At 64.3% G+C, this 25,963-nt stretch overlaps 2 protein-coding genes across 5 annotated transcripts, besides 9 other annotated features; one reads left to right on the top strand and one right to left on the bottom strand.

Moving 5' to 3' along the window:
• Window positions 1,881-2,360: a silencer, noted in NCBI's record as "silent region_9615". NCBI's record gives its function as "represses an Ori minimal core promoter by ATAC-STARR-seq in GM12878 lymphoblastoid cells {active_cell/tissue: GM12878}" and the evidence as "EXISTENCE:reporter gene assay evidence [ECO:0000049][PMID:35858748]".
• On the top strand, window positions 2,207-17,895 carry RNF126 (ring finger protein 126). 3 transcript variants are annotated; one of them, NM_001366018.1, is made up of 9 exons: window positions 2,207-2,374; window positions 12,537-12,595; window positions 13,125-13,188; window positions 13,566-13,729; window positions 15,125-15,187; window positions 15,673-15,742; window positions 16,446-16,539; window positions 16,934-17,049; window positions 17,144-17,895. In NM_001366018.1, exons 1-9 carry the CDS (start codon window positions 2,300-2,302, stop codon window positions 17,291-17,293), a joined length of 855 nt encoding a protein of 284 aa, NP_001352947.1. In that variant the 5' UTR covers window positions 2,207-2,299; the 3' UTR covers window positions 17,294-17,895. The 3 variants fall into 3 exon arrangements, with proteins under 3 accessions (NP_001352947.1, NP_919442.1, XP_047295025.1); NM_194460.3 differs by having other exon boundaries at window positions 13,566-13,810; XM_047439069.1 differs by lacking the exon at window positions 17,144-17,895 and having other exon boundaries at window positions 13,566-13,810; window positions 16,369-16,539; window positions 16,934-17,000.
• Window positions 2,851-3,140: a silencer, noted in NCBI's record as "silent region_9614". NCBI's record gives its function as "represses an Ori minimal core promoter by ATAC-STARR-seq in GM12878 lymphoblastoid cells {active_cell/tissue: GM12878}" and the evidence as "EXISTENCE:reporter gene assay evidence [ECO:0000049][PMID:35858748]".
• Window positions 3,191-3,240: an enhancer, noted in NCBI's record as "active region_13570". NCBI's record gives its function as "activates an Ori minimal core promoter by ATAC-STARR-seq in GM12878 lymphoblastoid cells {active_cell/tissue: GM12878}" and the evidence as "EXISTENCE:reporter gene assay evidence [ECO:0000049][PMID:35858748]".
• Window positions 3,531-3,590: an enhancer, noted in NCBI's record as "active region_13569". NCBI's record gives its function as "activates an Ori minimal core promoter by ATAC-STARR-seq in GM12878 lymphoblastoid cells {active_cell/tissue: GM12878}" and the evidence as "EXISTENCE:reporter gene assay evidence [ECO:0000049][PMID:35858748]".
• Window positions 3,731-3,820: an enhancer, noted in NCBI's record as "active region_13568". NCBI's record gives its function as "activates an Ori minimal core promoter by ATAC-STARR-seq in GM12878 lymphoblastoid cells {active_cell/tissue: GM12878}" and the evidence as "EXISTENCE:reporter gene assay evidence [ECO:0000049][PMID:35858748]".
• Window positions 5,780-6,693: an enhancer, noted in NCBI's record as "H3K27ac-H3K4me1 hESC enhancer chr19:658728-659641 (GRCh37/hg19 assembly coordinates)". NCBI's record gives its function as "activates a minimal SCP1, AML or CMV promoter by ChIP-STARR-seq in naive H9 embryonic stem cells {active_cell/tissue: H9 hESC(naive)}" and the evidence as "EXISTENCE:reporter gene assay evidence [ECO:0000049][PMID:30033119]".
• Window positions 6,694-7,606: an enhancer, noted in NCBI's record as "H3K27ac-H3K4me1 hESC enhancer chr19:657815-658727 (GRCh37/hg19 assembly coordinates)". NCBI's record gives its function as "activates a minimal SCP1, AML or CMV promoter by ChIP-STARR-seq in naive H9 embryonic stem cells {active_cell/tissue: H9 hESC(naive)}" and the evidence as "EXISTENCE:reporter gene assay evidence [ECO:0000049][PMID:30033119]".
• Window positions 20,336-21,276: an enhancer, noted in NCBI's record as "H3K4me1 hESC enhancer chr19:644145-645085 (GRCh37/hg19 assembly coordinates)". NCBI's record gives its function as "activates a minimal SCP1, AML or CMV promoter by ChIP-STARR-seq in primed H9 embryonic stem cells {active_cell/tissue: H9 hESC(primed)}" and the evidence as "EXISTENCE:reporter gene assay evidence [ECO:0000049][PMID:30033119]".
• Window positions 21,048-25,542, bottom strand: FGF22 (fibroblast growth factor 22). Of its 2 annotated transcripts, none has more exons than NM_020637.2 (3): window positions 25,282-25,542; window positions 22,083-22,186; window positions 21,048-22,011 (listed from the first exon to the last, which is right to left on the bottom strand). In NM_020637.2, exons 1-3 carry the CDS (start codon window positions 25,493-25,495, stop codon window positions 21,817-21,819), a joined length of 513 nt encoding a protein of 170 aa, NP_065688.1. In that variant the 5' UTR covers window positions 25,496-25,542; the 3' UTR covers window positions 21,048-21,816. The 2 variants fall into 2 exon arrangements, with proteins under 2 accessions (NP_065688.1, NP_001287741.1); NM_001300812.3 differs by having other exon boundaries at window positions 21,048-21,988.
• Window positions 25,370-25,859: a silencer, noted in NCBI's record as "silent region_9613". NCBI's record gives its function as "represses an Ori minimal core promoter by ATAC-STARR-seq in GM12878 lymphoblastoid cells {active_cell/tissue: GM12878}" and the evidence as "EXISTENCE:reporter gene assay evidence [ECO:0000049][PMID:35858748]".

The raw sequence follows: 25,963 nt of genomic DNA, 5'->3' as shown, positions 1-25,963 counted from the left end.
CAGCCTTGCAAGGCCCAGAGGTGGGAACCTGCTTAGCCCACCCAAGGGGGCCAGTGAGGCTGGGGAGGGGTCAGCGAGGGGCAGGTGACTCGGGGCAGGCAGCAGAGCACAGAGAGGGCTGAGGAGGTGCCAGCGGTCCTCATGTCTGCTCCGAGCCAACGGAAAACCGTCAGGTTCTGCCGCCTTCTCAGAGGTTAGGCCACTTGCCTAGGGACACACAGCCAGTTCGTGGTTTGGCGTCGTTTGAACCAGGCCTGCTGCTCCTCCTGCACTTGCGGAGCGTGAAGGCTGGTGCAGGGGCTGCGTCTGGCAAGCCTCGCCCCTCCCCAGCCTGGGGTTTTCCTGGATTCCCAGGGACGGGGCCCGTGCGCTCTCTGGTGGTCAGAGCAGGAATGACTGGATTCGCGCTGCTGCAAAGACGACTGGAAGGAGGCTGAAGCCCCTGTCCCCAACCTCTGGACATTCAAAACCCTAAATGCAGGCCGGGCGCGGTGGCTTACGCCTGTAATCCCAGCACTATGGCAGGCCGAGGCGGGCGGATCACCTGAGGTCAGGAGTTTGAGACCAGCCTGGCCAACATAGTGAAACCCCGTCTACTAAAAATACAAAAATTAGGCGGGCGTGGTGGTGCCCAGCCTGTAATCCCAGCAACTCGGGAGCCTGAGGCAGGAGAATCACTTGAACCCGGGAGGCGGAGGTTACAGTGAACCGAGATTGCGCCATTGCACTGCAGCCTGGGCAACAGAGCCAGACTCCATCTCTAAAAAACAAACAAACAAACAAAAAATCTAAATGCACAGGCTCCAACTCTTAATTCCTCAACAGTCTCGCTCCAATGCCTCATTTTGCAGGAAGTCCAACTCCAACCAAATCCTATTCATCCCTCAGCCCTGGTTCCAATGTCCTTACCCCTCGGAAGCCCTCTCTCTCTTTCCCCAGGCAGAGCCAGAGTCACCCTTGAGTTCCACGCTCCTGTCCAATCTCATGGGACTGGGGGTATCTGCGTGCATTCAGCATAGGGTCTGGTGTGCAGTAGTTGCTCAATGAGTGTTGAGTGAAGAAAGAAATACACGCATGAGGCCGGGCGCGGTGGCTCATGCCTGTAATCCCAGCACTTTGGGAGGCCGAGGCGGGCGGATCACGAGGTCAGGAGTTCAAGACCAGCCTGGCCAAATATAGTGAAACCCCGTTTCTACTAAAAATACAAAAATTAGCCGGTGTGGTGGCGGGTGCCTCTAGTCCTAGCTACTCGAGAGGCTGAGGCGGGAGAATCGCTTGAACCCTCGGCAGGCGGAGGTTGCAGTGAGCCGAGATCGGGCCATTGCACCCCAGCCTGGGTGACAGAGTGAGACTCCGTCTCAAAAAAAAAAAGAAAAAAGAAATGCATGCATGATTGGGCCAGAACTAACCTCAGAAATGATCCTGGCCTGTGCTGGGTGATGATACCGTTTCTACTGATTAAATTTGGAAGCAGGGGTTAGGTTTCCTGCCTTCTCCGCACCCGAGAGGCGCCTGGGCCGTCAGCCCGTGGAGCATCTTGGAAACAAGGCCACAACCCACAGACCTCAGCCTCTGTCTGACCCCACGGGTCCCAGTGAGGCCCAGACAGCGCCCTGAGCCCCGGGTCTGCCTGTATTCCGCAGCGCTGAGGGAATGCCTGCTGTGTGTCAGGCGCTGCTGCGGGTCCAAAAATCCCTTTGCTGCGCAGCTGACCTGACAGTGCATCGGGAGGGAATCAGTGCCACGGAGCAGGAGGGCAGCAGAGAAGACCTTGTAAGCTGACATTTGAGCAAAGACCTGGAAGAAAGCCACGCGGGCGTCGGGAGAGCGCTGCACCGGGCAGCGGGCGGGGGAGAGGGCGCCTGGCGAGCCCCAGGAACGGTGGGGACAGTGGGCTGAAGTACCGTGAGGGGAGACGGCGATGAGGTAGGGAAGCACTGAGGGACACGAAGGCCTGGGCAGCTTCGGGAGGGGAGGAGGGCCTCGGCCCCGCCCCGCGCACGCCCCGCTTCTCGTCTCTTCCGCCGCCTGCTTTGGCCCCGCCCCCGCCGGAAGCCCCGCCCCCGCTTGGAGCCCCGCCCAACGGCCGGGCCTAGTTTGTCTCTCAGCGGCCACCGTCGCCCGGGCCGCTGCCCGCCGAGTACGCAGCTTTCGCCGCTCCCGCGCCCCCGCTCCGCCCCGCGTGCCGTGCGTGCCGTGCGTGAGCGTGCGCGGGCGCGTCGGCCGGCGAGGGAGCAGCAAACGGCCGGCGGCGGGTGCCGCGCGGGGGGCGGGCGGCGCGGAGTAGGTGGCGGCGGCCATGGCCGAGGCGTCGCCGCATCCCGGACGGTACTTCTGCCACTGCTGCTCCGTGGAGATCGTCCCGCGCCTGCCGGTGAGGCCCGGGCCGGGGCGGCGGGCGGCAGGGTCTGCGCCGCAGGCCTGAGGCAAGGCCGGGGCCGGGGTGGGGGTCGCTTGCGCCCGCCTCTTGCGCGAGCTGACCACGACGGGAAAACTGAGGCTCGGGGCAGCGCCGGCCCAGGCTGAATCCGCGGGGAGCCCGGGCGGTGCGCGCGCGAACCCCGTCCTGTACATGCGGGAGACTGAGGCCCGGGCGGGAGGCAGGGCCTGGCCGGAGCGGCGCAGCGGGATCGCGGCCGGGTGACCCCACATCCGCGGCGTTCCCGACCCGAGAGGCCGCGAGGATCCCAGGTGGGATCCCTAAGCCCGGTGAGCCTGGTTTTGCAAACGGAGAAACTGAGGCCCGGCGAGCAGAGAGAGGGTATTGCCCGGTGGCGCGGCGCGGGGCAGGGGCTGGGCCTGGCGGGGCTCGGACCCCGAGAATAACGCCAGGGGACCCCCGCCGAGCGCGTGGTTGGGGGCGCCGGCGCCTCGCTGCAGGCTCGCCTCGTGGAGCCCTGGCCGCCGCCTTGGAGGCAGGCCCAGGCCCGGAACGCCCCAGGCACTGTCCCGGGGTCCGACCGCGGCCCGCCGGCGGGGCTTTGTGAGCAGAGCCTGCGTTCCTCCCCTCCCGGGGCTTGGCTGCGCAGCCCACCCTTCCTCCAGGTGTTTACAGCCGCCCCTCACCGAAGAGGACCCTGGGCCTGGGCGTGCCGAGTGCTACTTCCTGCTCGTTTAGGGCAGTGTTTCCCACGCGGACCTGATGTCACCTTGGGGGAGGTGGGAGCAGCGCTCGTTGAAGGTGCTATTTCCAGGCCCCTTTTCCAGGGTTTCGGAGTCAGTAGGTGTGGAATGCGCTCAGCAGTCTGCATTTCTAATATTATTTTTAGGAATGGGGTCTCCCTGTGTTGCCCAGGCTGGTCTTGAACTCCTGGGCTCAAGCGATTCTTCTGGCTCAGCCTCCCAAAACGCTGGGATTACAGGTGTGAGCCACCGTGCCCGGCGGTGGTCTGCATTTTTAACCCGTGTTGCCCTTCGCCAGGCTGACGTGCAAAGTGGTGATTTAGTCGAGCCACCCGTGCTTTATAGATGGGGAAACTGAGGCGCGTGGTGGCTCAGCGGGAAAGTGGCAGAGCCGGCTCAGTCGGGAGCCGCTTGGCCAGCTTGAGGGGAGCAGCCGCAGGAGGTGGAGGGGTCTGGACTCCCCACCCTGTGCCCAGGGGAAGAGGCTGCAGGCATTGAGGATTTACTGTGCTGTGTACGTAGCCGCCCGGCTGTTGCTACGCTTTGACCCGTAAGAGAAGTCCAAGCCCCCCAGAAGCAGTGCAGTTCCCCGGGAGTAGAGACCCAGGAAGGGGCTGGAGGGAGTCAGGAGAAGCCGCCTGTCTCTGGGTCACAGAGGAGGAGCGAGTGCTAGAGTTGGGGCATGGCGGGAGAGCGGGGCCAGGCCCAGGAGTGGAAAGAGAGAGGTGTGGTTTCCTCTCTACTGAAGCCACAGGGCTTCCCCTCCCCAGCAGGAGGAACAAATAAAGTGAAATCTCGGGTGTGGGGCGAAGGTTGGGGAGCTGAGACTGAGCCTTGCCTTACTCCTCTGTCTCCCAGGGGTCTCGCTCTTGCCTCTTCCAGCTTTCTGTCCCCACTGGCCGTGGCAGGAGAGGCTGGTTGCCTGACAGCCCGCCAGCCTGGGTGAGTTGCAGGGCAGCCCCTTGCAGCCCCTTGAGCCCTGGGACAGGCCTGGGAAGCCCCTGGGAAGCCTGGAGTGGTGGCTGTGGGGGGCCGACACTGCCTTGACTCGGCTGCACATTTAGCTGCTCCTAGAGCCCGCACAGGACTGGATCCTGGTGTGGTGGAGCCACTTCCTCGCCCCGTGGCCTTGGACACGGAGGACCTTGACCTCCTCCGACTGTCACTGGGCCTGGGGAGGGCCTTCCTGTAGTGAAAGGAACTCTGTGGTGACAGGCCGCTGTGGTCTTTGCCCTCACAGAATTTACAGGCTGGCCAGGGAGCCAGCATGGAACAGTGATTGACAAATATTTAATCATGGACGTTGGTAGATTCCTTAAGAGCAAATAACTGCAGAGAGGGCTGCGGGGGCCTGCCCGTGTCCACCCCGCGGGTGATCCCAAGGGCATCTGCTTGTGCCTTTGGAGCAGGACGCAACAAGGCGCCCGTAGACAGCATGGCAGTGTCAGAACTTCTCCGTACGTGGCAGGACCCTGTCTCTACAGAAGACTAAAACAATTAGTGGGGTGTGTTGTTGCACTCCTGGAGTCCCAGCTACTGGCGGGGGCTGAGGTGGTGGGAGGAGCGCTTGAGCCTGGGAGGTGGAGGCTGCGGTGAGCCGTGATGGTGCCAGTGCACTCCAGCCTGGGTGACAAGCAAGACGCTGTCTCAAAAACGAATTTTTTATGCTGGGAAATGGGCACACCTGGCGTTTGTTCTGGGGAGGGACGGCTGCTCCGTATCTGGCAATGGGGAAAGTCCCCAGCCACAACCAGTGCCCTCGAAACGGGGCGTCTCTGCCGCTGGGGAGCTTGCCCGGCGGCTGAGTCAGGGGCGGCACTGCTGCTGCTGAGACACCTGGGCTGGCTGTCGGGAAGCTCCTGCCTGCCTCTGACGCAGGGGGGACTGGCTGCCATGGGCTGTGTGCCTGCCCACGAGGGCTTCTCCCAGGCAGCTGGGCCGTTCCGGGCCTCCTTTGCTGTCCTGGGCTCTGGGATCAGGCTGAGGCCCCGCGCAGCTGGGTCATTCTCTGCTGGGCAGCCTTGGCCTCAGTCTCCTCACCTGCCAAGTGGGTTTAGTGATGCGATTCGCTCCCCGTGGCATCTGGTGGGCACGTGTGTGCAGAGTGGCCGGCACCTGGCCGCTCTCCTGGTGACTCGTGAGGGTGTCCTGAGCGGGGAGCCACACTTGCGGTCGGGGGCTCAGGCGACGACGGCACAGGGGCAGCAGTTGCCCCCATGAAAGGCTGTGATGAGGCCGAGCGCGGTGGCTCACGCCTGTGGTCCCATCGCTTTGGGAGGCTGAGGTGGACGGATCACCTGAGGTCAGGAGTTCGAGACCAGCCTGGCTAACATGGTAAAACCCCATCCCTACTAAAAATACAAAAGATTGGCCAGGCGTGGTGGCAGGCACCTGTAGTCCCAGTGACTTAGGAGGCTGAGGCGGGAGAATTGCTTGAACCTGGAAGGCGGAGGTTGCAGTGAGCCGAGATTGTGCCACTGCAGTCCAGCCTGGGTGACAGAGCAAGACTCCTTCCAAAAAAAAAAAAAAAAGGCGATGACGAGGGTGTCTGGGTGTCTGAGCAGCAAAGGGAGCGTCAGCCAGAGTGGGGCGTGTGGCGGCAGGAACCAGACAGGCCAGCTGGAGCTCAGGCCACAGGCGGCTGCGCAGACCCAGACTCGAGCCTGCTGAGGAGGCACTGACTGGAGCTGTGACTGTAGGGTGTGGGCGAGAGCTGCTGAGGGCACTGAGCCCCCAGGAACCAGGCGGGCGCAGGGAGGTGGCCCTGCGTGCCGTCCTTGCCCCTGACCTCCCCGTCTCTGGGTGGTTCCTAGGGTGGTTCCAGCTCTGCCTGCCGACCCCCCACCCCCGAACGCCTGCAACCTCCGCAGTGTCCCCAAGTGGCGGTGAGAGGACGGTGGGGGTGCTGGGCCCTGCCGCCCACGGTGGCGGGGAAGAGCCGGCGTGGGCGGGGAGCCACCAGGAAGTGAGGGCTGCTACGGCCAGTGTCACTGATGGGGCCAGGCGGGAAGTCTCCCCAGCTGCCCCCCGGCCCACCCTGTCTTCTCCTGGTCCCTGCGGCGGCCTGGCCCGAGTCTTCAGAAGACGGCCTGGGTCTGTCTCTGGCCGCTGCTTGCTCTGTGTGTCTGCGGTTGTGCCAGATACCGTGACAGTGACAGCCTGCCCCTGCCTCTCAAGCGTCCGGCCAGCACCCTGGAGCGGCTCTGCACAGCTGGGTTCTCCGGAACGGGCTCCCTGCAGCACCCTGTGAACATGGAGCCTGGCGTTGTGATCGGGCACCAGCAATACCCCGGGAACCTGTGGATGTCGGCTGCCCTCTCTGGCCGGCTGGCGCTGGGGTCTGCCTCGGGCAGATGCCGGTGCTGAATTTCCTCCCACTTAGAACTCTGCCACCATGAGGACCTTCCTCTGAGCCTCGGGCGAGCCGTAGCACCCCTGGCACTGGCACGGATGGGCACCTGTGGGGTTCCAGTCCCTAGTGGTGGTGCCTGAAGCCACCTGGGAAGAAGAAGGCAGAGTTCGGGGCCTGGGCCGAGGCACGCCCTGGGGTGTGAGGCGGGGCCCCAGCCTGGGCTGAGGCAGTGGCTTCGCTCACGCCTCGTCCATCCAGCTTGTCTTGGGAGTGTGTGGTGCGTGGGGCCCAGGGACAGACGGTGTGAATGTGGGATGTGGTGGCAGCTGCTGAGGGCGGGAAGAAAGGGGTGCAGGCGCCGCACGTGCCCGTGCCTCTGGGGCTGCGGGGCCCACACACTGTGGATCAGCCGGGAAGCTTTGGGCACCCTTTAGGAAAACAGTAGCCAGCACGGGGGCTCCTACCGAGGCCGAGCACTGCACCATGACTCTCCCTGGGGTCTCCTGATGTGCACAGCTTCCCGAGGGCCCTGCCACCCACAGGGGCCGAGTCACTGTCACCAGGGGCCTGCCTGCCCTGGTCACTGTCAGTCATCTGGGGCCTGTAGGTCGCCAGCCCACTCCCCTCCATGCGCCTGGCCCTGGGCCCTCAGGACATGCGCCCCGTGCAGGCCCCGTGGATGAAGGGGCCTCTGCTGCCCTGCCAGGTCCCACCCGGGGATGAGGCCATCACGCTGCAGGGGTGCATGGGTGGAGCCCGGCACTGGCAGGGTCCCCCCTACCCTGGCTGCCTGGCCAGCTGTTGCTATGGTGATGATGCCGGGTGATCGTACCTCCTGCATCTGTTCTCTGACGGAGAGGTGAATGGATTCACCGTCTTCTGCTAGGGCCAGAGGCTCCAATGGGGCCTCTGTGGGGGCCCCCAGTGCGTGCTGCCCCCGGAGAAGGTGGGGCAGCTCCTTCACCAGGCCCCCTTGCCCAGGCGTTTCTACCTGCAGCTGCCCCGATTTAATACGAGACCAAGCGGTCTCTTGGCTGTGCCCTTGGAGGAGGAGGGCGGCTGGAGACCCCCAGGTCCAGCCCCTCCCACCGTCGGCCAGCAGAGGCTCAACCTCCACCCTGGATATCCGGGATCCACCTGTCACTTGCCTTCGTGACCAGAGCCTCGGTTCCGGCCTTCGGTGGCCCTGGAGGGGCTGGCCGGGGGCCTGAGAGACAGCCCAGAGCCCTGACAATACGCAGGAGTTGGGTCGCAGCCCTTGGCGTCCTCGATGGCACCCGGATTTCAGATATGAGTGAGTGTCCAGGCTGTCCTCTGTGACAGGGCAGAGGCTTGGAGCAGAGAGGTGACCTTTGAAACCCCTAGGGTGGGCGTTCCAGCAGCAGGGCCGACGTGCACAGGCCCCGACGCTGGAGTGGGTGCTGCAGAGAGAGGGTTCTGGACAGTGCTGTGGCACCAGGCCCCACGGCCGCTGCGGGCAGGACAGCGGGGGCCAAGAGGAGGCCAGGGCTGGGGCAGATGAGTGTGTATGTGGCCAGGTCGGGCTGTCGTGAGCCGGCAGTGCGGGTGGCGGGAGCATGCGTTGTGCCCTGGACTGAGACGGGAACCCGGGAGCCCGACAGAAAGCCAGTGATGCACAGAGGGGCTGAGCTCGGCACATGGGGACCAGAGCGGCCGAGCGCTGTGCCAGGCCACGTGGGCGTGTGCAGGGCCTCGTGCTTGTCCAGGAGAGATTCGGGGCTGGGGCTGGCAAGCCAGGGTCCTCAGAGGGAGACAGCTTCTCCCTCAGGCCCTTCTGGGGCTGCCTGACCTTGTGGATGCACCCAGCAGGAGAGATGGTGGTCGGGGCAGCTGCACAGCTGACTTACGTCCTGCCCTCAGTGGGGGCCAGTGCAGCTGTTCCAGGTCCACTGGGTGGTGCTAGCCTGGGGAGTCACCATGCAGGGAGAGCCTGAGCCCTGAGCTACCCCTCCATTCCCAGAGACCCACCCAGGCGATGGAGCGGCCCTGGGCTCCCGGTCAGCTGGCGGGCGGACGGCGGCAACCCCTGAGCCCAGAGGAGCCCCGATAGACCCGACACCGGCAGAAACCAGGGGTTCAGATTTGACTGTGAAGTCTCAGCGTGTTTACGTGGGGCGTCCCAATCCCGACACCCCAAACACACCCCAAGAACCGACGCCTGGGGAGAGTTGTCACGGCCACTGTGGCAGAGCCACACTGCTCCCACACTAAGCTCAGGGCCACAGTGGTGGTCGTTGGCTGCTTCCCCTTCCCCTTTCCCTTTTTCTTTTTCTTTTTCTGACACGGTCTCACTCTGTGGCCCAGGCTGGAGTGCAGTGGTATGATCTCGGCTCACTGCAACCTCTGCCTGCCGGGTTTAAGCGATTCTCGTGCCTCAGCTCCTGAGTAGCTGGGATTACAGGCACCCACCACCGTGCCCAGCTAATTTTTGTATTTTTAGTAGAGACGGTATTTCCCTATGTTGGCTGGTCTCGAACTCCTAACCTCAAGTGATCTGCCCACTTTGGCCTCCCAAAGTGCTAGGATTACAGGTGTGAGCCACTGTGCCCAGCCCTTTTTTTCTTTGTTTCTTTCTTTTTTTTGTTTTTGTTTTTGAGATGCTGCCTCACTCTGTTGCTGCAATCTTGGCTCACTGCAGCCTCCACCTCCCAGGTTCAAGCGATCCTGGCACCTCAGCCTCCCTAGCAGCTGGGACCACAGGCGCCTGGCCCATTTATTTTAATAGCTTTATCTCAGTATTTTCACACACCATATAATTCACCTGGTGAAACGTTTGTAGTATATTCATAAAGTTGTGCAACCACCACCACAGTCTAATTCCACAGCATTCTCACAGCTGCAAAAAGAACCCACCTCAGCCCTGCCAGCCGTCACTCCCCGTCCCCTCCCCCAGGCCCTGGTGCTCACACATCCCCTCTCTGTCTCTGTGGCTCGGCCTGTCCTGGACATTTCATAGACGTGGGATCACACGCTGCGTGGTCTTCTGTGTCTGGCATCTCTCACTGGACGTGATGTCCTCAAGATGCAATCCCCCCTCCCCCCCGCCGTGGCCTGGTCTGGGCCTTGCCCCTTTCCATGGTTGAGTCGTGCTCTGAGGTGCGGGTGGACACTGGAGCTGTTTGCATCTGCCGACGACGATGATGAACTGTGCTGCCGTGAACTCTCACCTGCCAGTTCTGGCCATGTGAACATTTGGTGGGCAGGTGTCTTCGTTTCTCTGGGGTCTGCGCCTGGAGTGAAAGTTCTAGCTCGTGGGTCATGGGGTAGTTCCATCTGGGGGACTTCTGGGCTCCCAGCAGGCCTGACGGGGTCTTGCATCTCGTCCTGGCTGGCCCTGGGAAGTGGCATCTCGCTGGGGCTGGCCGGCTGCGTTTACCCAGCGTGTTTTTGGAGGCATGTCCTGTACACGTCCTTTCCCCCCCCACTTTTCTTTTTTTTTGAGATGGAGTGTCACTCTGTCGCCCGGGCTAGAGTGCAGTGGCGCGATCTCGGCTCACTGCAAGCTCTGCCTCCCAGGTTCAAGCCGTTCTCCTGCCTCAGCCTCCCGACTTTGCCCGTTTTTAGTTGCGTTGTCTGTTTCTCTTTTTCTTTTTTTTTTTGGCAGGGTCTGGTTCTGTCACCCAGGCTAGCGCAGTGGTGGGACCACAGCTCACTGCGGTCTCGATCTCCTGGACTCAAGCCATTCTGCCTCCTGCCTCCCGCTCCTGCCTGTCTCCTCCCCCTCCTTAGTAGCTGGAGCTACAGACCCACCCCAGCATACCCAGCTAATTTGTTTTTTGTAGAAATGGGGTTTGGCCATGTTGGCTAGGCTGGTCTCAAGCTCCTGACCTCAAATGGTCTGCCCACCTTGGCTTCCCAAAGTACTGGGATCACAGGTGTGAGCTGCTGCACCTGGCCTGGGCTTTTTTTTCTTTCTTTCTTTCTTTCTTTTGAGTTGTAAGCACTTTTTTTTTTCCCGATACGGAGTCTCACTCTGTCGCCCAGGCTGGAGTTACAATGTCATGATCTCGGCTCGTTGCAGCCTCCGCCTCCTAGGTTCAAGCGATTCTCCTGTCTCAGCCTCCTGAGTAGCTGGGATTACAGGTACGTGCCACCACGCCTGGCTAACATTTGTATTTTTAGTAGAGACGGGGTTTCTCCATGTTGTCCAGGCTGGTCTCGAACTCCTGGCCTCAGGTGATTCGCCTGCCTCGGCCTCCCAAAGTGCCAGGATTACAGGTATGAGACACCGCGCCCGGCCAGCACTTTTTTTTTTTTTTTTTTTTTTTTTTTTTTTTTTTTTGAGACGGAGTCTTGCTCCCTCGCCCAGGCTGCAGTGCAATGGCACAATCTCAGCTCACTGCAACCTCCGCCTCCCGGGCTCAAGCAATTCTCCTGCCTCAGCCTCCCAAGTAGCTGGGATTACAGGCGCCCGCCACCACACCCGGCTAATTTTTGTATTTTTAGTAGAGACAGAGTTTCACCATGTTGGCCAGGCTGGTCTCCAACTCCTGATCTCAGATGATCCGCCCGCCTCGGCCTCCCGAAGTGCCAGGATTACAGGCCTGAGCCACCGCGCCCCCGGTGATGGCGGAGCGTGCCGAGAATTCGTGGGGCGTGGGCTGAAACGCATGTGGTGCCTCCCGGCCTCACCAGGAGCCGGGCCGCACTTTTTCTATATTGTAGATGGTGCCTCTTCACTCTCCCCTCACGGTGGGTTCATGTGCATCTGGCATCGTTTGCTCACCCTGGCCTTAGTCCCTCCCCACCCAGCCTGTGCTTCAGTGGCAGGAGCAGGTGAGGCAGGCACGGCGTGGTGTGGGCGGGGGCCCAGCTGTCGGCCCTCCCCTTGGGCACTGCACGCCAGACCCCCGCTTCTCCCCAGAGTCAGTGGGTGAGGCCGGGATCTTGCTTGCTGGAGAGGTCCCAGCCCCTGCCCCTGCGAAGACTGAACAGCCCCGGTGCAACCTGCATCCCCAGAGCCTGGGGTCGACCTTGGCTCCCCTCACAGCACTCCCCCATGCACGGTGGGAGCCTTGTCTCCTGTTTTTGTCTGTGTTACCTGGGGGTGGTCTTGGGACCCCCATGTGAGCCCCTGGCGTGATGACACGTGCCGTGTGAGGCCATTTTCACGTTGCTGCGATGGAGCACTTGAGACTGGGTCGTTCATAGAGAGCAGTTGATTTAGCTTCCAGTTTCCAGTTCTGCAGGCTGTGCGGGAAGTGTGTGTCGGCATCTGCCCAGCCCCTGGTGAGGCCGGGAGGCACCATGCACGTTTCAGCCCAGGCCCCACGAATGCTCGGCACGCTCCGCCATCACCAGGGGCCCAGCCATCCATGAGGAGTCCGCCCTGTGAGCCAGTGTCTCCAGCAGGCCCTTCAGCCCTGGGGATCCCGTTGCAGTGTGAGATCCACAGGGGATGGCATCCGTCCTGCTCGGCACAGCTGTGGCTTGAGGCTGGTGCTGGGGAACTGTGAACGTGGTTTTGGGACTCACCCACGGCTGTCCCTGGGCAGGGTCCTCACGTCTCCTCTGGGACATCACCATGTTGGCCTTGTGTTGTCCTTGGCTCTAGGGGGACCTGGGGATGGGGTCTTGCAGGGGTGTGGCCAGCGTGGACGTGGCCTCCCCCGAGCCAGGGGAACGGGCTGTGTGCGGGGCTGCCAGAGCGTCCTGGAAATGCCACTGTGGGGTATTGGGGCACCCCTCCGAGTGGTGCCACCTGTGTGAGGAGGTGCCCAGGCACTGGTGACGCCCGTCACGGTGGGGCAGGTCGGAGGGGCTCAGCCAAGGCGCTGATGACGCTGGTGACGCCCGTCACGGTGGGGCCAGGTCGGAGGGGCTCAGATCGCCGGGAGCCACCAAAGGGTCAGCGGGTGGCTGGCAGAGGCCAGGTCCCCTCGGCCGCCCTCCAGGACCCACGGGTTGGGAGCCACCCTGGCCTGCGTGTGCCTGGCCAGCCAGAGACCGCTGGGTCCGGAGCCCCTCTGTCCTCACACTTGGGGGGGTTTGCAGGTGATGCCGGCGTCACCGTGACCCGGCCTCCTGTTCTCTCCTGCAGGATTATATCTGTCCAAGATGCGAGTCTGGTTTTATCGAGGAGCTTCCGGAAGAGACCAGGTAATGCAGCCCCCTGTTGAAGAGGCTGGAAGAGCCAGCCGGGCCTCAGCTGTTGTAGGGGTGTGGGCTGTGCTGGCGTCCGCCCCGCCGAGTGTGGGGCCGTCAGGCCCTGGTGTCTGTGGCTCCGGGAGCACTTTTCTCTGTGCAGACAGCAGCGTGCCGTTCTCTTCTGTGATGGCCGGGCCGGGGCCAGAGGGGAGTGCCGGCAACCTGTGCAGCCGCTCACCTCCCTCAGCCTCGGCGGCTAATCTGGTGACCCAGGCCCTCCGGGGAAGGGGCCACGGGGGCCCTACCCACATTCTCACGCTTAGGAGGCTGTTGGGGTCTGCACCGGTTTATCGAGAAACCCGTGGTTTACTGGCGAGGGAAGCAGCAGCGGGTTACGGCACCAAATGCTGGGGCGGTGGCGGGTGGGAAGCAGTGCCAAGGACAATTCCTGCTCTCCCAACATAGGCTTTTGAGGGGAGGGAGCGCCTGGCGCATGGGGGCACAGGGTAGCCGGCACTGCTGACCTGCACTCTCTCCCCAGGAGCACAGAAAATGGTTCTGCCCCCTCCACAGCTCCCACAGACCAGAGCCGGCCACCGTTGGAGGTGAGTCGCCCGCCCCTCGTGCTTCCCGATCGTGTCAGCCTTGCTCGGGGCCCCGAGCGCCAGCCTGTCCCCACCTCGCCTCCCCGGCTCTCCCTGCCCGCACGGCGGAGGAAATTTTTCCCTCCAGGGGCCCGGGCCAGGGATTGGGGCGGCCCACGCTGCTTGGTTGGTTTCTTGGATGAAAGCGAAACTTCCACCGAGGCATCTCACACCAGCGGGGCAGGCTCTGCCCAATTCCTGCCTCCCTGTCTGCGTCTCCCTCCCACCCGGCACCCAGCAGGGCCCGTCTTGCTTTCTCCTTTGTCTTTGTGCCCTAGCGCCCCCAGCAGACTGCACGGGCCTGAGCCCCCGAGGTCACGCCCCCCTCCTCTCCCCAGCACGTGGACCAGCACCTGTTCACGCTGCCGCAGGGCTACGGACAGTTTGCTTTCGGCATCTTCGATGACAGCTTCGAGATCCCCACGTTCCCTCCTGGGGCGCAGGCTGACGACGGCAGGGACCCTGAGAGCCGGCGGGAGAGAGACCATCCGTCCCGGCACCGGTACGGCGCCCGACAGCCCCGCGCCCGCCTCACCACGCGGCGGGCCACCGGCCGGCACGAAGGCGTCCCCACGCTGGAAGGGTGAGGGGGCCCCGGGGGTGGCCGCGAGGGCCCCACGCCTTGAGGTCGGAAGTTCTGGCGCTTAGAATCCAGCACGGGTTCCACGGAAACGTGGCATCATCCATAGGCTCTCTGGAGAGGCCGCCCGGCCAGGCCCTCCAGCCCCCTGTGACTCCCCACACGGCCCTTCGGAGACAGAAGTATGCCGGTTCAGGGTGTGTGGGTTGACCACAGAGTGGGGCACCGTGTGCCTGCCAGGCCCACGTGCTCTGGAGACTGCTGTCCACACGCGTGTCGTCAAACGCTGTCCAGGCCTTGGGCCCAGAACAGAGCCTGGGGGAGCCGTCGCAGGGCCCCACTCCTGGTGGAACGGAGCCTGGGGGAGCCGTCGCAGGGCCCCACTCCTGGTGGAACGGAGCCTGGGGGAGCCGTCGCAGGGCCCCATTCCTGGTGGAACAGAGCCTGGGGGAGCCGTCGCTGGGCCCTGCTCCTGGTGGAACAGAGCCTGGGGGAGCCGTCGCAGGGCCCTACTCCTGGCGGTTGATGCTTTTATGGTTGTGTGTCTCACCTGCTGGAAATGTCATCTTTAAAAGTGGCTAATTTTGCCAGGCACGGTGGCTCAGTGCTGTATTTGCAGTTCTCTGGGAGGTCAAAGAGGGAGGATCTCTTGAGGACAGGAGTTTAAGACCAGCCTGAGCAATGTAGGGAGGCCCCATCTCTAATTTTTAAAAAGTAGCTGAGGCTGGGTGAGGTGGCTCACACCTGTAATCCTAGCACTTTGGGAGGCCGAGGCGGGCAGATCACTGAGGTCAGGAGTTTGAGACCAGCCTGACCAATATGATGAAACTCCGTCTCTACTAAGAATACAAAAATTAGCCAGGCATGGCGGTGGGCGCCTGTAATCCCAGCTACTCAGGAGGCTGAGGCAGGAGAATCACTTGAACCCGGGAGGCAGAGGTTGCAGTCAGCCGAGGTCGTGCCATTGCACTCCAGCCTGGGCAACAAGAGTGAAACTCTGTCTCAAAAAAAAAAAAAAAAAAAAAAAAAGTAGCCGAGAGTGGTGGACCTCTTCTGTGGTCCCAGCTACTTGGGAGGCTGAGGCGGGAGGATCGCTTAAGCCCAGCAGGTTGGGGCTGCAGTGAACCAAGATCAAGCTGCTTCTCTCCTGCCTCGGCATTAGAGTGAGACCCTGGCTCATAGTAAAATAAATAAATAGAAGCTAATCTAGAAGCTGATGCTGGCCCTGCCCTTGGTGCTCACCACGGACCTGGCAGGCCTGGCGCCTCTCCTGTGCGTGGGGCGGCCTCACCCCGTGACTGGCGCTCTCTTTTCCAGGATCATCCAGCAGCTCGTCAACGGCATCATCACGCCCGCCACCATCCCCAGCCTGGGCCCCTGGTGAGTGGGTGGGGGTGCCTGTCCCCATCCCCAGCCTGGGTCCCTGGTGAGTGGGTGGGGGTGCCTGTCCCCATCCCCAGCCAGGGTCCCTGGTGAGTAGGAGGGGGTGCCTGTCCCCATCCCCAGCCTGGGCCCCTGGTGAGTAGGAGGGGGTGCCTGTCCCCATCCCCAGCCTGGGCCCCTGGTGAGTGGGTGGGGGTGCCTGTCCCCATCCCCAGCCTGGGCCCCTGGTGAGTGGGTGGGGGTGCCTGTCCCCATCCCCAGCCAGGGTCCCTGGTGAGTAGGAGGGGGTGCCTGTTCCCATCCCCAGCCTGGGCCCCTGGTGAGTGGGTGGGGGTGCCTGTCCCCATCCCCAGCCAGGGTCCCTGGTGAGTAGGAGGGGGTGCCTGTCCCCATCCCCAGCCTGGGCCCCTGGTGAGTGGGGTGGATAGACGCACCTGCCCCAGCTGCCCGTCAGCCACTTGAACCCCACCTTCCACCTCCAGGGGAGTCCTGCACTCAAACCCTATGGACTACGCCTGGGGGGCCAACGGCCTGGATGCCATCATCACACAGGTACAGCGTGGCCACGGCCCAGAGTGCCTGCTGGGGGAGGGCTGGGCTGCCCACCCCTGGGAGCTGCCCCACTGCCTGGACCCACGAAGCCCCACAAAGGTCAAAGGGGATGCGGGCACAGCCTCCACGCTCTGGCGGGCACAGGGGGCAGCTCCGGCCTTCCTCCTGCCATTTCTGAGTCTTGGCAACTTTGGGGGTTCTCCTGTGTTCACGCGGAACGTTGTAGCAAAACCGCGGGGAGGACTCGCCCACAGTCACATGGTCAGGAGGCCACGCGGTCCCTCTTCCCGAGAGGTCGCGCCCTGACCTGCTTCCAAGTGCCACCCGTCTCAGCCTTGCTGAGGAGCCCTTGGAGCATTTTGTCACTGGCAGGACCCGACCCTCACAGTAGCCCACCAGCCGGAGCACGGCCCCCCCATTCCGCCGTCAGGGCACTCAGGAGCGCGGCCCCCCCCCCCATTCCGCTGTCAGGGACCCAGGAGCGCGGGCCTCCGCCCATTCCCCCATTCCACCGTCAGGGGACCCAGGAGCGGGGGGGCCGCGTGGGCTCCACAGTGATCTCCGACCCCGGGCGGGCTCCAAGGGGCCCAGGGCCCAGGACAAACGCGGCCTCGGTGCTTTTGCAGGTCCTGCAGCCTCGCGTTTCAGAGCCCCGGGCCGGGCCCCCGAGGAGCTCCCGGCACTCTCGCCTCTTGTCTTTCAGCTCCTCAATCAGTTTGAAAACACAGGCCCCCCACCGGCAGATAAAGAGAAAATCCAGGCCCTCCCCACCGTCCCCGTCACTGAGGAGCACGTAGGTATGAGAGCTCAGCCTCCCGAGTAGTGGGAATTACAGGCACCCGCCGCCACGCCTGGCTCATACTTGTATTTTCAGTAGAGACAGGGTTTCACCATGTTGGTCAGGCAGGTCTCGAACTCCTGACCTCAGGTGATCCTCCTGCCTCGGCCTCCCAAAGTGCTGGGATGACAGGCGTGAGCCACCGCACCCGGCCTCGAGCATTTCCCTGAAGGTGGGCTGGGAGGAGAGGGTTCTGTCCAGGTCCCCTCTGGCAGCCCGGGGGACACACACACGGCTTTTCTCCCCTCGCTGGGCTCAGGGGCGGCCTCCGGCTGAGGCTGTGGAGTAGCCTGCCCTTGAAGGCTCGGCAGGCCCCCCACGCCCGCTGTGACCGCAGCTGCACACTCCCGCAGGCTCCGGGCTCGAGTGCCCTGTGTGCAAGGACGACTACGCGCTGGGTGAGCGTGTGCGGCAGCTGCCCTGCAACCACCTGTTCCACGACGGCTGCATCGTGCCCTGGCTGGAGCAGGTGAGTGCCCCGCCCACCCGCCCCCCCACCCCGACCGCGGCCCTCCCGCCTCTAACCTGCCCCTTCTCCCGTCCCTGCCTCTGTCCCCACAAAGCACGACAGCTGCCCCGTCTGCCGAAAAAGCCTCACGGGACAGAACACGGCCACGAACCCCCCTGGCCTCACTGGGGTGAGCTTCTCCTCCTCGTCGTCATCGTCCTCCTCCAGCTCGCCCAGCAACGAGAACGCCACAAGCAACTCGTGAGCCCACGTCGGCCGTCGGGAAAGCACGGGGCCTTTCCCACCCACCCTCAGCCAGCGCCACACGGCACCCACAGACTGGGTGCCCCGGCGGCGCCACGCTTGGCTGGTCAGCGCTGCAGGTCCCGCCTGTTCCAGGGCAGGACCCGGGCCCGGCCCACCGGCCCCCTGGCTTGGGAAGGCGTGGGCCACATGGTCCCCTCTGGGGCGTCCCCAGCCTCCCCGTCCTCTGTCTAACCTCACCCTCTAAACGTTCAGCGGTGGAAAGATTTTTATAATTTTAAATTATTACTGCTTTGAAATAAACGGACGTTTGAGCTCACGTGGCGGCCATGCATGGTTTGTGGCGGAAGACGGGGCCCAGCGGCTCCCCCAGCGCTGAAGCACGGGGTTCAGCGGCTCCCCCAGTGCTGCAGGTGCCGCCAGGACGGGCCACGTGGGCCCCCAGCCTCCCCCTCGGCCGCCTCCACGACCCGGAGTAGGGGGGCTCGGGACCATGAGGATGACCAGCAAAATTCAAGAACAAAACTGCTCCAACAGACTTTTTTAAAGGAAAAAATATGTGTATCTTGAAAGCTATTTAAAATACACTACTTACAAAGAGAAGCCGGTGCTGTGGCTTTCCTTCTGCGCCCGTGCGTCAGGAAAAGGCCAAGCTGGGAGGCTGGTCGGGCTCTGCAGAGTCCGGTCCTGTCTCCAGGGGTCTGCGCCTCCTGCAGGGCTTGGCACCCAGGGCCGGCTAGCAAAACTGCTCTCCCGAAGTTAAGCCCAGGAGGGCTGCTGGCGAGGTAGCAGGGTGGCAGTGTCACTGGGTCGTGAAATTTAAAACCAGAAACACCAGCGTTAAAGCGCCAGGGCCCAGCGCCTCTGCCCCACGCTTCGGTCACACCTCAGCCACGCGGGTTCCTGGCCCCTTCTGAAAAGCCGGACCCCACTGCTCAAGGTTGCTGGATGCCTGGCCCGGGGTGCAGCCAGCTCGGGCACAGCTGGCAAGGCGTGGGGACCTGCGGGCTCAGGGGGCCGGGGCAGTGGGTTCATCTCAGTTGCTGATGATCCCACCATCCTGGGATCCAAGAATCAGACGATGGAGACAGCTAACGGAGAGGAGCCTCCAGCAGGACCACCCGTGTCCCTCCACGGTAGACGGCTCCTGCGCGTGGGAGGCGCGTGCCCCACGCCCCTACCTGTTCTCCAAAGACTCCCGCCCTCCGCTCTGCACCACACTCTTCACTGTGTCCCGCGACGTGTCTGCGTCAGCCCCCTTGGCCAGGTAACTCGGATCCCACCTGTCCGGACCGTGCGCAGGGCACCTTCTGGGCTGCTGCCGCAACGCCGTGGCGGGCCCTCCTGGTGGCCGCCCTCTGGGGTCGCGCGTGGCGGGCCCTCCTGGTGGCCGCCCTCTGGGGTCGTGCGTGGCGGGCCCTCCTCGTGGCCGCCCTCTGGGGTTGCGGAGCCGAGAGAAGCGTTGGGACTTCCATGACTGTGGCCGCCAGGGCAGAGTGCCAGCCCTGAGGGCGTCCACATCTCAACCCCAGGACCCGCGGACTCGGCTCCTCACGAGGTAACGTACCCGGTGCCCTAAGACGAGGTTGCATGGAGGACACCGAGGTAGGGAGGTTACCTCGGATCGTCCTTGATCTCCGGACTGAGAGAACAAGTGTTTTAGGCCCCGAGTCTGCGCGACAGGCTGGGCCGCCTGCTCCGGGTCACAGTCCCCCGGCCGAGCCGTTTTCCTGTTGGAAGATGGAGTTTTGAGTCAGGAGGCGTTGAGGGAGACAAGGCTCGGGTTCTGTGTGTCCGTGGTGGTTCTTGGGAGTTGGAGTTGGAGCTGGAGAGGAGGGCTGGGCAGGTGAGGCTTGCAGCGGCGGGACCTGGAGACTCGGAACTGGAGGGCCTTTGTCAGAGATGCTGCCGGGGTGTGCGCCTGCCTGTGAGGCTGGGACTTCCCTCGCGTGGAGTGGCCAGAGGAGCAGGACCGATTGGTTCGCCCCACCCAGGCATGAGCCTCGGGGGCGCTGGGCCCAGAGGACACCGGCACCCTGGTGGGGGCTGTGAGGCCGCATTGCTCGAGGTCAGACAGCAGTAAGAAGTGGCCGCCCCTGGTGTCTTCCCTGCCCCAGGAGCCTGCTGCACGACAGGACAGGGCCCTGGTAAGGCCCGCACCCCTGCGTCCCCGGGCCCCTCGCGCCTGCAGCCGCCCTCTCCCCATCCGCCCTGCCGCTCAGGAGTGCTTCGTAAGCGGAAGCACAGTTTGCAACAGTTTGGGGTTGTCTTATTTTCACTGCTGGCGATTTCCTGGGGAGCCGCTGGTTCTGTGCCCCCAGGCCGCTCCTCTCTGTTGGGGGGCCCCCACCTCACTGCCTGAGGACAACGGGGGTCCCCAGGTTTGGGCTTGCGAATAAGCTGCTGAGGGCTCTGTGTGAACCGGGATTTCACTGCCCTGGGATGTGCGGAGCTGTACGCCCATTCCACGCTCTGTTTTAGAAACAAAGAAACAACTGCTGACCTGTTTCTTTTTTTTTTTTTTTTTTGAGACGGAGTCTCGCTCTGTCGCCCAGGCTGGAGTGCAGTGGCGCGATCTCAGCTCACTGCAACCTCCGCCTCCCGGATTCAAGCGATTCCCCGCCTCAGCCTCTCAAGTAGCTGGAATTACAGGCGCCCGCCACCACGCCCGGCTAATTTTTTGTATTTTTAGTAGACACGGGGTTTCACCATGTTGACCAAGATGGCCTTGATCTCCTGACCTCGTGATCCACCCGCCTCGGCCTCCCAAAGTGCTGGGATGACAGGCGTGAGCCCCCGCGCCCGGCCTGCTGACCCGTTTCTTCGAGGCACATGTTACGTTCCTGCGTGGGGTGCCAGCAAGTTTTATTTCAGCTGTGGTGACCTGTGCAGCTCCCAGTGACAACTCAAGTGGCGACGCCCTCCGACTGGCCAACGTGGGCCGATCTCCCCTCACACTGCCAACCTGGGGACATCCTGGGTGCAGCCCTGTCCTCCACCCACTCCATGCCAGCCAAAGATGTCCCCAGAGGCCGCCTGGTGTCCCCTGGGGTGGGGCTCGCTTCTGTCTGCAGGGTGAGCAGAAGCTCTCGGGCCGGGCACGACCCTCCCTTCCCAGAAGGGTTTTCCGTGTCAGGCTGCTCAGCACCTCCCAGCAAGTGCCTCGGCCCAGTCTTCCTGTATTTATGTGGAAGGCGGCGGCTGGGGATGGAGCCCTGGCCGTCCCCGGGGACTTCACCAGGGCGATGCTGCTGTCGCCCCACACACAGAAGGGGAGACAGGCCCAGGGTGTCACTGCCTGGCTCCAGGCTGTGGGGCTCTTGGCTCTGACCTTTTCTCTGAGAGGCTGGAGTTTGACTCCCAGGGCTGTAGGCAGAAGTCCCAGCGGAGTCAGGATGTCAGGAGGGCGCTGGGCACAGGTGGGGGCGCCCCCACACCGACGGCCAGCCCTCTCTGCGTCCCGCAGGACAGCGGCATGAAGCCCCCAGGCCTGCCCTGCACCCAGCACGGCTCCTGCCCTCAGCCTCTGCCCTTCCCGGGGGATCTGAGGAGCACCGAGGCGTCGGCCTCTGCCCTTCCCGGGGGATCCGAGGAACACCGAGGCGTCGGCCTCCGCCCTTCCCGGGGGATCGGAGGAACACCGAGGCGTTGGCCTCCGCCCTTCCCCGGGGGATCTGAGGCTTATTTTGTCATGAGAACAGTTTCAGACACCGTGTGCATATTTCCGACGTCTGCTGTAACAAAAGACCACAAAGTTGATGGCTTACTACGTTTATTTTCTGGCGGTTCTGGAGGCCAGAGTCCAAACTGGGTCCCACTGGGCTCATATCAAGGCAGGAGCAGGCCGGTCCCTCCCGGGGGCTCCAGTGCGGAACCGTTCCCGCCTTCCCCAGCATCTGGAGGCACCCACGTCCCTCAGCTTAGGGCCCTTCCTCCCCTTCACGGCCACAGCGCGGCCCATCCCCATCTCTCTCTGGCTCTCACTGTCCCGCCTCCTGTCGTGAGGACCCTGTGAGGACACTGGGGCCCTGGACCCCCCACCCTGGATGCTCCTCCATCTCCGTCCCACCTGCAGGTGCCTTTGTCCTCGCAAGGCGTTGTATTTGCAGATTCCCGGGACGGGACCGGCTTCGAGGCTGGTGTTCTGCGGCGTCTGTCACCGTCTCCCCGGCCCCCTCCCCTCCCCTCCGCTCCTGCCCCCACTCCCAACGTGCTCCCCACCCCGAGCCCCTGCCTCTGCCGGGCCCTGCCTGGGACGTCCCCCTCGACCTTTCGACGTCTGCGTCCTTCAGCCCGAGAGGCGCCCTGTTGGGTCCTCGAGGTCCCCAACTCAGGATTGAACCTGCTTGGTGGCCACCACCCCCTCAGGCTGGGACCCCCCTGGAGGGCTCCTGGGCTGTGTCCACAGCGCCCGCACACGGTGGGCACTCAGCGCTTACAGAGCCCGCAGGGGGAAGAACAAGCGTGGCCGGGCCCCTCGCCACCAGCCCAGGCACCTTGGGGAGCCGCCGGCCTCTCAGGGCCTCAGGAGACCAGGACGGGCAGGAAGTGGGCGGACAGGTGGTACCGCCGCGTCCGGCCGCCTGGCCGGGGCCCCCCCCTCCTGTCCAGCGCCAGGAACATGGGCTGGCCGCGGCGGCGCCAGCGCTGTGAGGCGTAGGTGTTGTGGCCGTTCTCTTCGATGCGCTCCCGGAACCTGCAGTCCACGGTGTAGAGTCGCTGCGGGCGGGGGTGAGGCCGGCCCACCCTCCCCACCCTGCCCGCGCCGCCCAGCCCTGCCCGGCACTCACCGACCCGTAGAGGCGGCCCCGGCGGTTCATGGCCACGTAGAAGCCTGAGGACACTGCTTTGATGACCACGACGCCCACGTGTACAGAGCGGATCTCCAGGATGCCTGGGGGAGGCGGGGGTCGGGGAGGGCCTTGCTGGCTCACCCCCAGCACCGCTGCTGTCCGCTGTGCTTCGTGCAGGGCCCTCAGGACCACGACAGATACCAGGAGACCCCCGGGACCACGAGTCCCCTCCCGACCACGACGGACACTCAGGATCCCCCAGAGCCGTGACTGACACCAGGAGCCCCCCCCAGCATGTGAGGGAGGAGCAAGGAGCAGGCAGAGGGAACGGGAAGCAGGACGGCCCCCACGAGCTGGGGGAGTGCAGAGATCGATGAGGACCCCGTGGGAGGGCCAGGTCAGCGCTGTCCCTGCAGCTCAGCCCAAGAGCAGCATCTGTGTGTGTGTATGGCGGGGGGGCTCCCACACACCCAGAGGGACGGACGTCAGGGGGGCAGCAACACCACGAGGAAGGTTGGGAAAGGGTTCCTGGGATGTGGGAGTCAGAAGGGGCAGGGCCCACCCAGACCACTGATAACTGTCAATGAGCCAGCGACCAGCAGCACCCCAGGGAGCCCCCAGCCCGGCCCTCAGAGCTCACACCACCCCATATGGAGCCCCCAGCCCGGCCCTCACAGCTCACACCACCCCAGAGACCCCCCAGCCCGGCCCTCAGAGCTCACACCACCCCAGGGAGCCCCCAGCCCGGCCCTCACAGCTCACACCACCCCAGGGACCCCCCAGCCCGGCCCTCACAGCTCACACCACCCCATATGGAGCCCCCAGCCCGGCCCTCACAGCTCACACCACCCCATATGGAGCCCCCAGCCCGGCCCTCACAGCTCACACCACCCCAGAGACCCCCCAGCCCGGCCCTCACAGCTCACACCACCCCAGGGACCCCCCAGCCCGGCCCTCACAGCTCACACCACCCCATATGGAGCCCCCAGCCCGGCCCTCACAGCTCACACCACCCCATATGGAGCCCCCAGCCCGGCCCTCACAGCTCACACCACCCCATATGGAGCCCCCAGCCCGGCCCTCACAGCTCACACCACCCCATATGGAGCCCCCAGCCCGGCCCTCACAGCTCAGCTGCCCGGCCCACGCACAGTCACTGGGACTCCGGACTGGGACTCTGGACTGGAGGCCGGGCTGGCAGTGGCCTAGAGTGGGACACCGGTGGTTTATGGGACACCACAGACATGCTTGAGCGCCGACTGTATGCCAGCTGTCCTACCAAGCCCGCTCAGCAGCCCACGTTGCAGAGGGGCCAGTTGAGGCCTGGGAGTGGCAGAGCCAGATTTGGACGCCATCGTCTGTGGGTAGCCCTGGGTGAGCCCTGCCCCACCCTGAGCTGAAGTGTCTTGTCCAGCAAGGACCCTGGGGCCAGCCGCCACTCCTCACCCACACTCGCTCACCCCGGCCTGGGTGTCTGCCGCTTTGTCAGCTGGGTGTACAGTTCCCTGCGTGCCCGGCCAGCTCCCTGTCAAAGTGAAAGCTCCTCGGGGCAGCCTCCCAGCCCGACCTTCCAGGACACACAGGAACGTCTTTGAGGTGGTTGTTCTGGGGCGTCTGTGTCACGATCTCCCCTGGCCCCTTCCTCGCCCTGCACCTCCCCTCCCCTGGCAAGGTGCCTCCCAACACCGCCGTTCACTGTTCTGCGCACCCACCTGCACCCTTGTTCACGTCATTCACTGTTCTTTTTTTTTTTTTTTTTTTGAGACGGAGTCTCGCTCTGTCGCCCAGGGTGGAGGGCAGTGGCGCGATCTCAGCTCACTGCAAGCTCCACCTCCCGGCTTCACGTCATTCTCCTGCCTCAGCCTCCCGAGTAGCTGGGACTACAGGCGCCCGCCACCACACCCGGCTAATTTTTGTATTTTTGGTAGAGACGGGGTTTCACCGTGTTAGCCGGGATGGTCTCGATCTCCTGACCTCGTGATCTGCCCGCCTCGGCCTCCCAAAGTGCTGGGATTACCGACGTGAGCCACTGCACCCGGCCAACCGTTCACTGTTCTGTGCACCCACCTGCGCCCTTGTTCACGTGTCTAACTGCTGCGCGCCTCTGCTCTGGGAGCCCCAGGAGGGTGGGCGTCTCTGTCACCACTGGGTCCCCCATGCGGAGCACAGCACCCACAAGGTGCCCGATTAGTGACCAGCGAATGCACGAAGGGCAGGAGAGCCCTCAGCTAGCCCTCACCCCCATCACCGTCCAGCTGGGGAAACCGAGGCTTGGAGAGAGGCAGAGACTGTTCCAGGTCAGGCAGCGGAGCCAGGCCTCTGCCCCGGCCCGAGGCCACCCCGCCTGGCCATGCCCGCCATGGATGGACCGGCCCAGCCAGTCCCCTGTCCGCCCTCGTCACGTGCGGCCTAATGAGGGCCTTGGCGCCCAGATGAAAGCGGTGGGAAGGACAGGGGGTGATTACCTGCCCTGATGGTGGTGATTCAGGCGGCAGCCAGCGGGCCCGGGCCCCCTTCCCAGTGCCCCCCGCCCGGCGGGGACACCGACTCCCCTGGCCTCCAGGTACCCACATCCCCTGCTGTGCCCAGCCTCTCCTCTTGCTCCTGACATTCCACAAACACTGAGGGCCTACCTCAGTGTGCTCGGCAGACCCTGGGGACAGAGACGCCCGCTCCGTGACGTCCTGGGCCCTGTGGGGACCCAGCTCCGCCACCCCTGTCAGTGTGACCCTGGGCAGGTCCCATCCCTTCTGTGTGCCTCCTTGTCCTCACCTGCCAGATGGGGTGTCTGGGAAGAAGCAGAGGGGGCCCCGACTCAGGCAGCCCTGACTGGATTCTGTGATGTCAGGAGTCCGGAGGTCAGCCCCCCGCCGCTTCCGCCATGCAGCTGGGCCTGCCCCAGCCCCTCTGGAGCCTCAGTTTCCCACCTGCAGATGGGTGGCCCCACCCACAGGGTTGTACCACACGGACGCTTCTCTGCCCCTGAGCCGGGTCCGCCGCTGCAGCCTTCGCTTTAACAGTGCAACCCTCCCACCAGGCAGGCTGCACCCATCTCACAGACCACGGAAACTGAGGCCGAGGCTGCACAGAGGAGCCTCCGGGACTCCCCCGCGGGCGCAGGTCACCGTGAAGACGGCGGCCGCGTTGCCGTCACCCGCCGCCTCCCCACCCCAGGCCCCCGCCGCCCCGCACTCACTGTCCTGGCCGTGGCGCCAGCGGGTGCCCTGCACGCGGCCGCCGGGATCCACGCGCAGGAAGAAGTGAGTGGAGGAGAAGAGGCGCCGCCAGCGCACGTCGCCCTCCAGGTGCGGGTAGCTGCGCGGTCCCCGCGACGCGCTCGGGGTTCCCGCGGCGTCCGGCGCCCGCGCCAGCAGCAGCCAGGCCAGGCCCAGCCACAGGCGGCGGCGCATGACCCGGCACCCGGTTCGCTGCGCGCTCGTCGCTCCCGGGCGTCCGCGGCTCTGCCTTCGCGCGGCGGGGCCAATGGGGCGCCTCGGGGGCGGGGCCGGGTTCGCTGGGGCGGGGACGCCGGCCAATGGGGTGCCTCGGGGCGGGGGCGGGGTCCACTTGGGCGGGACCAGGCTAGGGCGCCGGCCAATGGGACGTCTCGGGGGCGGGGGCCAGGTGCACAGGGGCGCGGCCGTGCGGGACTCCGCGCTCGGCCTCCGCGCGTTTGTTGTTTGTCTCGCGGGGCGTGTCCGTGAGTCAGCCGAGTCCCCGGGCGGGCTAGGACCTCGGGTTGCGGGGGCGGGAGTGTGAGACGCGGGCCGCAGAGACCTGGAGGGAGACAGAGACCCGGAGGGAGACAGAGACAGAAAGACGGCGGCAGTCAAGAGACACAAGGAAGATGACCGGGAGAGACGAGAGAGACACAGAGA

The sequence above is a fragment of the Homo sapiens genome, chromosome 19 (assembly GCF_000001405.40).
Source record: "Homo sapiens chromosome 19, GRCh38.p14 Primary Assembly".
In the NCBI taxonomy this organism is placed as follows: domain Eukaryota; kingdom Metazoa; phylum Chordata; class Mammalia; order Primates; family Hominidae; genus Homo; species Homo sapiens.
This window is presented reverse-complemented; position numbering and strand designations above follow the sequence as displayed.

What these genes read in the sequence shown, in the direction of transcription:
- RNF126 (NM_194460.3), top strand. Translation starts at nt 2,300, where the DNA reads ATGGCCGAGGCGTCGCCGCATCCCGGACGGTACTTCTGCCACTGCTGC. An exon ending in AGAGCCGGCCACCGTTGGAG is followed by an intron (nt 13,189 to 13,565) that starts GTGAGTCGCCCG and finishes TCCTCTCCCCAG; the next exon opens with CACGTGGACCAGCACCTGTT. An exon ending in GGCGTCCCCACGCTGGAAGG is followed by an intron (nt 13,811 to 15,124) that starts GTGAGGGGGCCC and finishes TCTCTTTTCCAG; the next exon opens with GATCATCCAGCAGCTCGTCA.
- FGF22 (NM_020637.2), bottom strand. Translation starts at nt 25,495, where the DNA reads ATGCGCCGCCGCCTGTGGCTGGGCCTGGCCTGGCTGCTGCTGGCGCGG. An exon ending in CTGGCGCCACGGCCAGGACA is followed by an intron (nt 22,187 to 25,281) that starts GTGAGTGCGGGG and finishes CGCCTCCCCCAG; the next exon opens with GCATCCTGGAGATCCGCTCT. An exon ending in GGGGCCGCCTCTACGGGTCG is followed by an intron (nt 22,012 to 22,082) that starts GTGAGTGCCGGG and finishes CCCCGCCCGCAG; the next exon opens with CGACTCTACACCGTGGACTG.